General features: G+C 42.9%; 1 protein-coding gene and 1 long non-coding RNA gene across 6 annotated transcripts in view, besides 3 other annotated features; one reads left to right on the top strand and one right to left on the bottom strand.

Moving 5' to 3' along the window:
- Window positions 1–5,244, bottom strand: part of ZNF407 (zinc finger protein 407) — a 467,802-nt gene extending 462,558 nt beyond the window's left edge. For all 5 annotated transcript variants that reach the window (NM_017757.3, XM_017025838.3, XM_011526069.4 and 2 more), the window contains exon 1: window positions 5,177–5,244. The gene's annotated coding sequence lies outside the window, so the exon portion shown is untranslated. The remainder of the gene's footprint in view (window positions 1–5,176) is intronic.
- Window positions 4,249–4,468: an enhancer, noted in NCBI's record as "active region_13501". NCBI's record gives its function as "activates an Ori minimal core promoter by ATAC-STARR-seq in GM12878 lymphoblastoid cells {active_cell/tissue: GM12878}" and the evidence as "EXISTENCE:reporter gene assay evidence [ECO:0000049][PMID:35858748]".
- Window positions 4,859–5,158: a silencer, noted in NCBI's record as "silent region_9545". NCBI's record gives its function as "represses an Ori minimal core promoter by ATAC-STARR-seq in GM12878 lymphoblastoid cells {active_cell/tissue: GM12878}" and the evidence as "EXISTENCE:reporter gene assay evidence [ECO:0000049][PMID:35858748]".
- Window positions 5,259–5,468: an enhancer, noted in NCBI's record as "active region_13500". NCBI's record gives its function as "activates an Ori minimal core promoter by ATAC-STARR-seq in GM12878 lymphoblastoid cells {active_cell/tissue: GM12878}" and the evidence as "EXISTENCE:reporter gene assay evidence [ECO:0000049][PMID:35858748]".
- Window positions 5,279–11,340, top strand: ZNF407-AS1 (ZNF407 antisense RNA 1). Its single transcript, NR_024484.1, has 2 exons — window positions 5,279–6,686; window positions 9,275–11,340. It is a non-coding gene; the product is annotated as a ZNF407 antisense RNA 1 (long non-coding RNA).
- The last annotated feature ends 2,523 nt before the right edge of the window (window positions 11,341–13,863 follow it).

The following is a 13,863-nucleotide window of genomic DNA, read 5'->3' as shown; positions in this document are numbered from 1 at the left end:
CCTTACAATAAACTCTTCAAGTATTACCTCAGCCTTCAAGACCCTTCGCAGTTTGGCCCCTGCTTCCAAATGCTACACTGCCCCATGATCTGCCGGGCTGCCTGGGAGCCTCAGCTCTCTCCTGAATGCCCTGTCCCCACACACCTGGGCATGCTCAGGGGTCAGTGTAGGAGTCCCCCTGAGGCATTTTCCCTGCCCCCAACTCCCCTCACACACACACAGTGCAGGATGTGTTTCCCAGCAGGACCAGGGCAATGTGTTTATCCTACCCTTCTGGATCTCTACTAACTCACAGACTACACTGGACATAAGAGGAGCTAAAAAAAATGTTGAATGAATCAATGCTAAAATACTGTAGAAGGTAATGTAACTTAGTGACTAAAAATAGGGGTTCGGAAGTCAGACCATCTTGGTTCAAATCCTGGCTCTACCATTTAATAGCTGTGTCGCCTTGCACAAGCTATTTATCCTAAATTTGAGTGTCCCATAAATCAATAAAATGTAGTATATACCTCAAAAGATTTGGGGGAATTAAATGAGATTATGTACAGAGGCACCTGGCACAGTGTTTATATAAAGAGCTCAAAAACATTATTATTGTTACCACCACTGAATTCTATGTTTATTTGCCTTTTACTGTCCCTAAGTACTTAATACTTTGAAAACGTCCAGTTTTCTCAGCTATACTCGAGAAGCAAACTGTTAAACCAGGATTATTATATCTGGAAACTACTGTATGAATAAAAGCAATAATCCTCTAAAGGAAAAATGACACTTAAAGAAGACAATGTTGGAGACCATCATCTCTCTCTACCTTCTCCCGCAAAAGGTTCTCCCTTCAGTGCTCAATTCTAGAAGTTCTAGATTTTACTTTATTTAGGGAGGCTGTAATTCCTTTACACTCCTACACCGCCATCAACTTCTTGCAAGGCTATTTCTGGGTTTTATTCCAGGTAGTTGGAATTGCAAGATAATCAAGTAAGCAGGGAGTTAGTACAATTATGATCTACCCATATAATTACCATAAGGAGATGTTCTAGTCACAAGACAACACTGATAAGAACAAAAAGCCTTTCCACTACAAAAAATATATACAGATGTGGATCCCTCACTAGTGATGCAAGCAAGATACATATGTAGGTGTAGCTATGTATACAGATATGTATGCATATATTGTATAGGGACATGTTTTGTACTTCCTTTCTGCTCCAAATGACTCATACTCCATTAAATTCCACAATATTTACTGATTCCCCTCGAAACAGTTTGGATGTGCATCCCCTCCAAATCTCAGGCTGAAATGTAGTCCCCAATGTTGGAGGTAGGGCCTGGTGGGCAGTGATTGAATTATGGCGGGGGTGTCCCTCCTGAATGGCTTGGTGCTGTCCTGAGATGGTGAGTGAGTTCCCATGTGACCTGGCTATTTAAAAGTGCATAGCACCTCCCCACTCTCTCGCTCCTGCTCTTGCCATGGGATATGCAAGCTCCCCGTTTGCCTTCTGCCATGATGGAGAGCTTCCTGAGGCTTCACCAGAAGCCCAGCAGATGCCAGTGCCACACTTCCTGTAGAGCCTGCAGAACCGCGAGCCAGTGAAACCTCTTTTCTTTGTATATTACCCAGCCTTGGCTATCTCTCCATTTTAGGCAATGCAAGAATGGCCTAACACCCCCTTCTATGAGTAAGACATCATGCCAAGAGACTTGGGATGCATACACATGAAGGCCGGTCTTGCCATAATCTTGTGAAGGACACACACACACACACACACACACACACACACACAGACATACACACACACACACACACAACTAACTGAAGGAACCAAGGCTGCAGTGAGATGCTGGTGGTCCTCTGGGATTGCAGACTCATCCATACAACTGCCCACTCAACGTGTTCACAGAAATGAGCCCACACTGAAGTATCTTACTGGGGCAACTGCTCACCTTCCATCACCACACAGGGAACACCAGGCTCCACCCAGTCACCCGAAGCAGACACATCAGTGTCCACCTTGACTTGTCCATCTCACCTACTCCATCCCCGAATCCACTCCACTAACTGAGCATGTACAATCCACTCACTTCCCCTACCTCTGGGCCACTATCCTAGTTCAGACTTCTGTGATGTCTAACCTACTATAAATGCAACAGCCTCTAAAAGATCCCTGTCCCCTAGCCTTACACCATGCCAACTGGTCTCCGTAGTTGCAATCAAAGTGCTTAAAACAAGCAAAAGGGTGTACATGTCACTATGCTGCCTACATTTCTTCAAGAGGGCCTCTCCAGCCTTATTTTCCACACCTCCTCTTATACTCCGTGATCCAGCCATCCTAAACACCTTTTAATTCTTGAAATGTTCCACATTACCTTTTGACGCTTGGAAGTCTTCTATCCAAAACTGGATTCCCTAACCGCTCTTTATCTCTTTGCCCAGTGAGTTCCTGTTCATTCTCTGGTCGCCATTCCCTCTTGGTATTCCTCCCTAACCTCTTTAAGCTTGCCAGGTTCAGTGGTTATGCTGGACATTTTTGCTTTTAGGGCTACCCACAGCCCAAGCTTCCTTCTATTTAGTAGGACTCCTTTGAGGTGTGGGTCTTTGCGAGGGATAAAGACCATCTCTCTCCATCTCTCTGCTCCCTGACAACTACAGTGGCTTGGCAAAAAAGGTCACAAAGATGCAGGAGCAATAAGAGATTTTTCAGTGGTAGAAGAGAGTCAACAGTCCAGCAACAGAGGTGGCAGTTTCTCCAGTGGCAATGTCACCAGCAACAAAATTCTAGGCAGGCTATTTACGTGATATTGCCTTGGATGTGGCCCCAGCCAGCCAGCCTCTTTTGGTTGCTGCCTATTTTCTGAATCCAGTTCCCCAGCCTTCCCATCAATTCTGAAAGCCATCTATAGCCTTCCAATAAATTCCTTTTCTGCTTAAGTCAGCCAAGTCCATTGCCATGGTTGACAACCAAGAATCATGAATGGCACTGTGACACTCTGTGGGCAGGCCATCAGACTGCACTGCCAATGCGCATTTGCTTGTCTATATTCCCCACTATCTTGTTCATCATTTTACTCTAGTGCAATGGCTGGCACAAAGCAAGCATGCGGTAAATGTTTCCTGAATGCATTACTTAATTCCACTAGTCATCAGAGTTGGAAAGCAAGGAAAACGCTCAGTGGAGGACCACAGTGCATTCCTAAAAAACCAATCTCAACTACAGTCGAAAGAGTCACAACTATCAATTAGAAACATACAGCTTAATTTATTCGCCTATTCATAGATTTAGAAACTAGGCTTCTTCTCACTATCTGGGATACAAACCACCTTCTTAAAGGAGATGAGAAAGAGAAGAATCAAACTAGGAGAGTATATTTTATTAAGATTAGCGAGTTCTACTCTAATAAAACAAACCTAATCGGAATGAATGTTGGGGAAAATGTCCCTTCAACCAGGTGAATACCCACTAGTCCTTGAGACCTATCTCAAATCACATATCCTGCAAGAAGCTTTCACCACTCCCCACCATCAATCAGCCGTAACTTCCACTGTGCTCCCACATCTCTATTTTAGTAAGCAGAAAAAGGTATTATATATATTTATTTATGTGTCTATTCAACCAGATCTCAAAATCCTCTAGGGAAGTATATTACTATTTCCAACACCTAGAAGGGTGTTTGGCATAAAGCAAGAACCAGTGTTTTTGAAGTGGAGCCACTTTGCTCTGCTTAAAAGGTACCAATGGAACTGTCCTATTGTTTGCAACTTTTCTGTAAATCTTAATTTATTCCGAAATAAAGTTTAAAAAAAAATGCACCAGTAGCAACTGTGTTGTGAGCAATTATCACACCTGCCTTACATGTCACGCAAGAAGAAAGCTTTACCTTGTACCAGTAGCAGTAATTTTGTATATAGCAAAGTGAGTCTCAGTTTGTAAAAAGGGAATAATTCCTACTACACAAGATTGCTGTACTAAATGAAGCACAGTGAGTATGCCAAATGACATATAAGCTCTTCTTAATAAGGTTCTGATGAGTATATGTTAGGGCCCCTGTCTACAGTGTTCTAAATGGACCAGCACTTCACCACAAAACAGATACATACTACGACTAGGATGTCACCAGGCATAGACTGCAAAGCTGTAACTCAAATCACTATTAAGACTGTAATTACTTATAAAAGTATTCTACATGTGTGTCCACGGATGTGGGATGTCCTATTCCAAAACTCCCCAATGAAATAAATGGCTACTCAAAACCCAGCGCAACCGACAGAGGTCAGCGGCCACTGCACCCCGCCTCCACCAGCTTAAACTCCAGAAGGAGGCCAAGCACCCAGGGCGTGCTAGCTGGCTGGAAAGAGGTGAGCATCTACTGAGAAACCCACTGCTGCCCGCAGCGGTGTCAGGCAGCCGCGGGTCTCCCCGCAGTGGCGCAAAGCGAGCTGAAGTCGGGAATGGCTAGGACCCTTCGCTGCCACCGCGGTGCTTTCGGCCACCGCACTTGTGTGCCCTCCGCCCGCCCACACCAGCGTCGCTTAACGGAAGAAGGCGCGAGTAGCAGCGGCGCAGCCAGGGCACCTGGGGGTGACACGAGAGTGGGCGGGCGGTCCAGGGAGCCCCTGCTGGAAACCAGACGCTAAAGCTTGCAGCTGTGCAGCTAGGGGAGCATCTGTTTTCCACTTGAGAGCAACCCGGGCACGCGAGAACGGCCCGATTTCGGTGCAGGGGTGCGTCCCGAAGGAACGGGGGACTGTTTCTGCGCGGACAGGCGAACCCGGCAGGGGAAACCGAGGCCACGCTAGGTCCGCAGCCCCGAGGTGTCCACAAGAGCTCCGCTCGCGCAAGGGCGCGGAGCGAGGCTGCCCGCGGGACCGGCCTGCGGAGCGAGCGGGTGAGAGGGCAGGGCGGCAGCTGGGGCCTGGGGGAGGAGGGCGGCGAGGCAGCGTGAGCGAACGAGCGAGGGTGTGTGTCCGGGCGTGAGTCTGGGCGGGTGTCGGGAAGGAAGGCGACAGGGAGGGGCGGAGGCGGGGGGAGGGGGGAGGAGAAAGAGCGAAGGGCCCAGACGGGGCTCTGGGCGCCCAGCCGCCCGGCTTCGAGCCCTCAAGCCACCGCCCCCAGGCCCCGCGCTGACGCTGGACGGTCCCCGCCTCCAAACCCCCCGCCCCGGCCAGAGAATAACTTACCTGTTTGGCGACGGAATCGCTCCTGCTCGCCCCTCTGACTGACTCCTCCGGCTCACCGTCTTCCCTTTGGGAGGAAGAGGCGGGACATCCTGTTTCTCCGTCGAAGGACTTCCGGTGGCTTCCAAGGCGACTCCGTAGTGGATGCAGCGCCGGACGCCACAGCCGAAAAACAGAATCTTGGAACTGGTTTAGTACAATCCAGGTCGAGTTCCTTGTTTTTTATCCGAGTGGCCGGCAGGCCCATGTGCTGTCTTGTTTTTAACACATCAGCTCTTGCCGGAAGCCGCTAAGAGATAAAATAGGAAGTCCCACCCTTCCCTTAGAGAAGGAAAACGGAGAGCCGAAGGAGTCAATCTAAATTCGATGAGCGCGTCGGGCTCCAAGGCAGGCGCTGTCAGCCCGGGAGGGCTGTCTGGGATTTCTAGAGGGTCCCAGAACGGGTTCTTCCCAGGCCGATCCCGCCTGCTTCCTGCCCCGTCTCTCCACCCGCCTCCCGCCCTCTGTAAGGGACCCCGAGGGCGGCGCCGGAAACACGGAGAAGGCCCAGAACGGCGCGGGACCCGAGAGGCCTACGTTGGCAAACGCAGCCCGCTGCCCCTTTGCTCGCTTCCCCCGGGCCTGGAGTGGCTCCTGTCGCTTCTGGCGCTCCGATTTCGAGAAATGACTTTCAGCTGTGCAAGGCGAGAATGCTACTTTAGATGATGAGAAAAAATCTCTCGAATGGCTCCCAAAATGAGGTCCTTGTTTAAGAGGCCACAGGAAGCCGCTAGCCGAACTCTGATACCAAAGAGGAGGCCAAGAAGCGGACTGTGGCTTGGTGACCTGTTTGGTATTGCCAAATTTTCAGCTTTTATTAAAGCTGAAACACCTTGGCTGTTTAAAACGTTCGACAAGGACTTTTTTATGAACGTTAACGGCACAGCATACGGGTTTTTTGGAAAAAAAAAAAGGCAGGACTTCAGCCCGTCCGCCCCCTTGTGCAGGTCCATTCATGAACCTCGAGTTAGAGGCCTTTCTTCTGAAACTCAGAATCTAGTAGGGAAGACCTGTGTAGACGAATAAAAATAAATACATCACAGCTTGTTAAGTGCTGTGACAAAGAGGCAGTGAAATCCTGCTTGAGGTCATCTGCCTTGCTAAAGAGGTTTGACTATGTTGTAGGCACAGGGTTAGGGTTAGACTCTGTAATGGGAAGTTATGTGATCAGATTTCTGTTTAGGAAGATCACTGGCCAGGCGGGGTGGCTTACGCCTGTAATCCCAATACTTTGGGAGGCCGAGTCGGTGGATTGCTTGAGGCTAGGATTTTGAGACCAGCCTGGGGAAACCGCGTCTCTACTAAAAATTTGAAATTAGCCAGGCATGGTGGTGCGAGCCTGTAATTCCAGCTACTTGGAGGCTGAGGCGGGAGAATAGCTTGAACCCAGTGGCGGAGGCTGCAGTGAGCCGAGATTGCGCCACTGCACTCCAGCCTGGGCGACAGAGCGAGATTCCGTCTCAAAAAAATCATTGTAAGTAATTGGATTTTTGTGTGTGTGTGATGTTCTGAAGATAGGCTTTCTAGGCCAAATCGTCACTCAAGGCCAATTCGAACACAATTCAGTTTAAATCAGAATACATTCGAGTGATAATTCCTTACCTTTTTAAATAGTTCATAGAAAACTTTTTGTAGACATTATCTGGTTTAATTCTGATTGTAATCCACATGAATTCTCTTATCCACAGTAAGGAACAGTAATTTAGAAGACTAATAAACTGTTCCAAGATCACACAGCTAGTAAAAGTGGAACTCAACCTAAAACTCCAGAGTCAAGCTTTTCCATCATGTAGACTCAGTTTAATAGTAATAGTTAATTAAAAATTCTAGAGAAAAATGTGGGAAACAATTTCCTCACAAGTGACCAGCTGCAAATGTTATTTGTATTCCATTAACCAACATTTATTGGGTGCCTGTTATATAAAAGATAAAACTGGGTTCTGCCTTCAAAGAGTTCACTTGAAATTTAAAATTTATGTGAAAATTTAGCACTTCCTACAGTGTTTTAATAGCTATTTCAACAGTGTTGGTGTTGTATGACAAGGTGATAAATTTCTTGACAATAACAATAGCACAATTCTGTATATGGATTGGGCATTCTGTGATCTTTGGGTGATTTATCTTGCTACCTTTCTTACCTTGGGGGTTTAGTTAACACTTATGTTCCTCCCCTGAGCAGTGAAGTAAAATCTAAGTTTATGTTTCAGTTCTATTTTGAGTATTTTGAGTTACTAAGACAGGACCTTAAGGAAGTCAGTTTGACCTCATTTCCAACTGAGAGAGTCCATAGATGTCATTCAAGACTAATTTTCTGATTCTAAGGAAAAAGGGAAGTCTTTTTTTTTCTTCCTCTCTTTATTTTTGAATGAATAATGCTTGACATGGACAACACAGACTTTTAGTGAAGACAGAGAGTCCTAGTGATGAAACCACCTTTGCAAAAATTACAACTGAGAAAATTATGACAGTGAAAGAGATCTGACCTAACCAATTCCATCTTGCTTCTAAACTCTGTCCTTGTTCATTCCTGGGCATAGGCAGAACTAACTCTGGAAGGAACTTAGTTTATAGTGTAACTTTGAAACAAAGATGATAACAGCTCATTCTGAAAACAAACCCCTTTCTGGCCTGGGGACCAGACTGCCTTTTTAGGGCTAGCAAATTAGCCACAAGATTAGAAATTACAGTTTAGGAATAATGCAGCTAGAGGCCACAAGATTCTAAACCTCCCCAATTGTTCCTAAGGATAATATCACTATTGTAAAACCCAAGATTGGTGCTTAAGATGTTTTTCAGACCCCGCACTCATGGATCAGCTGGCATCACTCAGATGGATAAACTGGCTCATCTAGTCCTGTAGCCCCCACCCAAGAACTGACTCAGTGCAAGAGGACAGTTTCAACTCCCTATGATTTCATGTCACACCAGAGCCATCAATTCTCCCCGCTCCCTGGTCTCCTACTCCCCCAAATTATCCTTTAAAAATCCCAGTCTCTGAATTTTCAGGAGACTGCTTTAAGTAATAATAAAACTCTGGTCTCCTGTTTAGCCAGCTCTGTGTGAATTAAACTCTTTATTGCAATTCCTTTGTCTTGATGAATCCACTGTCTGGGCAGCGGGCAAGATGAACCCGTTGGGTGGTTACAATGACACCAGGAACCCCTGGGATCAAGACTTGCTCGAAGCCAGCCACACTTGAGACCTGTTAACCAAAAAAAAAAAAAAAAATCCTTTTCTTATTTAAGTCCAGTTTTCTTTTACTTGCATCATGAAGCAACCTAAATGATAACAGAAGTTTTATTGCCAAATATACCAGTTACAGTCTTAAGAAAGTCGCAAAGGAAAAACTCAGAGCAAAGATTTTCAGTCTTCATAAGTTCAAAATGTATACTTTTATCATGTCTGAGAAAAGAAAGCAATCAATATATTCACATCTTTTTCTGGGTATATGTGATATTTTTCCATTGGATAATGAATAGTAAACACTTTTACAATAGCAAGTTGACAAAATGAGAATGTATAAAAGAAATTAAAATATATCAACTATTAAATAAATGCCAGGCATTATGCAACAAACCTTATATGCATTATTTCAAATAATTATTATAACTACTCTGAATAGACACATTATTTCCATTTTACAGATGAGAAAAATGAGGTTCAAAGAAGTGATGTCATGTTCTCTGATTCTGTCTATATTGGATACCTGGTGACGATCTCCCCCTGTCTAATACCCTAAACATACGTTCACCTGCATGCTGCTTCTGTTCTGGACCTTTGCGCTGGATGTAGTCCCAACAGAGTGGCTTGCTGGGAGGAGGGAGATACTTTTCAGATAAGGCACTAGCACTTCATCCTAACAACTTCTCCATACTGAGGCAACATTTTTAAATACACAGAGAATGCCTAGGATTCAATTGTTGAGAAAAATTGATGTAAGTCTGTTTGTCTCAAAGAAAGCTATCAGGAACTACAGTTTTATTAACCTAAATGAACACCTGGTTTGATGATGACTATGTAAATGTATTTTTAGCTAATTAATTTATTATTTCTGCCCATCAGCCAACGAGTGGATAAAGAAAATGTGATATATATGCACTATGGAATACTAAGCCATAAGAAGGAATGAAATAATGGCATTTGCAGCAACCTAGATGGAGTTGGAGACCATTATTCTAAGTGAAGTAACTCAAGAATGGAAAACCAAATATTGTATGTTCTCACTCGTAAGTGGGAGCTAAGCTGCGAAGATGCAAAGGCATAAGAATGATATAGTGGACTTTGAGGACTCAAGGGTTGAAGGATGAGACTACACATTGGGTACAGTGTGCACTGCTTGGGTGATGAGTGCACCAAAATCTCAGAACTCACCACTGAAGAACTTCCCCATGTAACCAAAAACCACCTGTTCCACAGAAACTATCGAAATAACATTTTTAAAACTTTACTATTTCTGAATAAAATTTACATACATTTCTCAGAAAAAAAAATATTTGGAATTGAGGTATCTAATAGAGAACTGAGTTAAATTATTGCCACTTAAAAACACAAAGTGATATAGCCACTTTATGAATTAATCAGTCAGCAGTGGCTAGGTTATGCTTAGTGGTTTATAACCAAATCTTAGTTTATAACAACAAATGTGTATTGTTAATTCCCACTACAAGTTTATAACGACATTGCTGGATGCTACACTCCATGTCTCTTTGTGGGACCCAGGCTCATGGGACTTCTGTTACCTGCATTAGAGAGAGAGAAGACAACAAAATATGCACTGGTTCTTGAAGCTTTGGCCCAGAAGTAAAATATGTCTTTTACCTGTTCACATTGCATTGGGCCAGGGCAATTATCATGGCTGCAAGTAACTTCAAAAGGATGGGGAAGTGCGATCTTGGCATGTGTCAGAAGAAATGAAAACATTTGGTGAAGAGCATTAATGACTGTCTTTACAGGAAAAAAGCAATCAAATAGACATGATTGCTTGTTTCAGTTTCATCATTTCCTACTGTGTTACCTAAACTTTCTGAGCCCCAGTTTCTTATTACTAAAATAAAATAAAGATGATATTCACTTCAAGGACTTTGTGTTAACTAGGGTAAAAAAATTGAAAACTAGTAAGTTATGCAAATTAGAAATGTATAATATTACTGCTTTGAAAGTGATGGTGAAATGTAGAATAATTGGAAGGATAACACAAAGCACTTATACCAGGAGGCTTTTAGCTGCAGATAATAGAAATGAACCTCCACTACTTTAATCAATAAAAAAGTGTATCAGCTCACAAATTTGTCATCCAGACATAAAGGAGGCTTCAGAATTTATTGACTCAGGAGTTGAATGTTGGTATCAAGGACCTAGATTTTTCTCATCACTCTGCACTTCAATTCTCAATGCCCTATTGAACATCAGGCTGTAGTAAGATGGCTAGAGTGATTCCAGGGATAACATCTAGAGATAAAAAAGAGAACTCCTTTTCTTATGATTTTTTTCTTAAGAGAAAAGGAATTTCCCAAAAGCCCCCAGCAAGCATGCCTTCACATCCCATGGCCAGAAGTGGCTCACATGTGTACCCTGAGCTAAGCACTGCAGACAGGAATGGAATCGCCTGTAGGCCTCAGAGACCACCTGGATCTTGGGAAGGTGTCAGCTCTACCTGTGGCACTTGGCTGAGTGGGAAAGGGATGGAAACATGAATAAAGTAAGAATTAGGAAGGAAAAGGAGAAATGGATCCAGGGTATGAAGCCAATAGTTTAGTTATCTCAACAAATATGATTGATTTCATCTTTATGAATGTGATGACCTAATTTAATACATTCAATCAATGAAGTAAAAAAAAGTGCAAGGACAATATGACATCTGTCATTCTCTGTTGAGATTTGAGAGGTAATAATACCAAGAACGTGTGGTGACCTGGGTCCTCACTGCTACTGTCTTCCTGTACCTGGACACTTCTAGCAAGAGACTTCAACTTCAGAACAAAGAGGATCCCAACTTGTAGCTGCATTATACACACCCCAGCAGCACACATAAGTTGATTTCTAATTATTCCTCTTTAAGAAATTGTTTGTGGAATATTTATCTATTTATAAATGGAAAAATAGAAAATTAAAATAACAAAAATAAGTAACACCATGTATTGAGTGTCTACTGCGTGCTAGGCACTGTGCTAAGTGTTCTGCATATATTGTCATTGTGCTGCCAACGACTCTGCAATAAAGATGTTCCCATTCCTACTTTACAGCTAAGGAAACCAAGGATCTGAGAAATAACGTATTTTGCCCAAGATTATCCAACTGGTAAAATCTGGAGTCCAAATTTGAACCAGAGTCCATTCAACACACTTTCACCTCTACACCAGTGCTTTCTGAGTTTGCTGAACATTAGAATCACCTCAGGAACTTAAAAAAAATTCCCAGGTGATACCCCATAGCAAGTAAATTAGAAAATCGGGCAGGGGAAGAGGAACCCTGGCATCAGTACTTTTTAAAGTCCCCAGGTACTTACAATGTGGAGGAAAGTTTGGGAACCACTGTGCTATATTATGTTGCCTCTTCAGCCAAGAATGTAAACCAGAATCTTTTCTTCCAAGGCCAAGAGCAGTGAATGATAGCTTATGGTATATACTCTCATTCCCAAGTGATCCTCTTCCTCAGGAGTTCTGCTTTAGGCTAACTAATTTCAAGTTTCCCTTTCACTACATTTCTCACCCATCTGAAGCTAAAAATGTTACAGGAGACATGCTGAATTTGTTGCTTTTTCTCTGTTATCTCTCCTTTTCAGAGCCGCCTCCCCTTACTTTACTTCACCTGCTAAAGTATCCCTGAACTCTGCCTTCTGGGGTTGAAAGTGGGATTTTAAATAAACTATAGATGGCTTCCTTTATTTGGTTATAATTATTTAAAATTTGAAGGAAGCATTGGTCATTTTTGGTGACTAGTCATTTTTGATGACTAAGTGTCATTTAAAGTTTCATTTCCTTTAAATTAACATTTTTTGTCATTCCATTCAAATGCCTACTTACAATGGCAATAAGAATATGCTATGAACACTTAACCACCCACACTAGAATTTTAAATCTAAGTTCTTCTCGAATGCTGTTTTGGTGAATTTCAGTGTGGGAGGTGAGATGATTTAAAGCTTCAGATTTTCTGTTATAGTCAAAGGCATAATTTATCTGACATCTTTTTTCATTCTGCCTAAGGAATTACACTAGAATAATGTTTTTAAATAAAATTTGTCCACATAATGACATTTTTTTCAATTCTATCCAAACTAAAATAGCTCCAAAGCGTTTACTTATCATAACTGTTAAGAAATTATACTTGCCAGGCATGGTAGCTCAAGCCTGTAATTCCAGCACTTTGGGAGGCTGAGATGGGTGACCTCCACTTGAGGTCAGGAGTTCGAAACCAGCCTGGCCAACATGGTAAAACCCCATCTCTACTAAAAATACAAAAAAATTAGCTGGGTGTGGTGGCAGGCGCCTGTAATCCCAGCTACTTGGGAGGCTGAGCCAGGAGAATTGCTTGAACCTGGGAGGCGGAGGCTGAAGTGAACCGAGATCACGCCATTGCACTCCAGCCTGGGCAACAAGAGTGAAATTCCATCTCAAAAAAAAAAAAAGAAAGAAAGAAAGAAAAAGAAAAGAAATTATTACACCTGCCATCACTTCTCTTCTACATCATGCTAGGAATTAAAAAGAATGCATCATTTTGTTGCTTCAGAAAATCTCCTGCATTCTTGTCTTTGTATTTTATCAATTGATTAGGGCTTTGGGGAGCTGAGCAAAGTATAGAACATATCCAACCCAACCTCTGCCTTACAAGAACTTACTTCCTAAAGAAGAAAGCTTTCTCAACATGGTAAAGAGGAAGATAAGTGCTCTGCAATACAGAATGTAGATGTTACATAGTTGGTCAGTGGAAGAGCAGAAGGAATATGTGCTAATGTTAGGACTTGGTTTAAGTTTTTCTTCGTTATGAAAGGCAGTAGTATTACAGATCGTTAACATAGTTATGCTAGGTCTAACCATCGTACATTAAGATAGAAACAAGTGTTTTGTATAATCAAGATCTCAAATCATGATTTAATTTTTTAGCCATTACATGTACAATTAATATTCAAACTTGATCTGAAAAATAACATTAAAAATAACAGATAACACTGAATTCATTTAAAAGTAGACATTTAAAATAGTATAGTACACTTTTTTTTTTTTTAAGAGACAGGATCTCCCCATGTTGCCCAGGCTGGTCTCAAAACTCCTGGGATCCTCCTGCCTCTGCCTCCCGAAGTGCTAGGATTACAGGCAGGATCCACCACGCCTGGCCCTTAAAATAGTATAGTATACTATCTACTAAACTAGATTGTGTTTAAAAGTCACTTGGCCCTATCATGAAACAGTTTGGGGATTTGTTTTTAAGTGAAAACAACTATCCGTAGAAGTGAGAAGTCAGATAAAATAGCATTTGTTTTCTTTTGTGAGCTTTCTCCTTCCTCTGCTTCTTCTAAGAACTTTGTTGAGCATGTCTAAATGGTCAGATGCTGGGCTTCGTGCTCTCCTCAGCTTAGCTTCTCATCACCTGCAGGAATGGCAGAGCAGTGTCATCTCACTCTGTCTTCTGATTGCTCAAGAGGAATCGTGTGTGTG

Source organism: Homo sapiens, chromosome 18 (assembly GCF_000001405.40).
Source record: "Homo sapiens chromosome 18, GRCh38.p14 Primary Assembly".
In the NCBI taxonomy this organism is placed as follows: Eukaryota; Metazoa; Chordata; class Mammalia; order Primates; family Hominidae; genus Homo; species Homo sapiens.
Note: the sequence above shows the minus strand (reverse complement) of the source record. Positions and strands in the feature narration are given on the sequence as shown.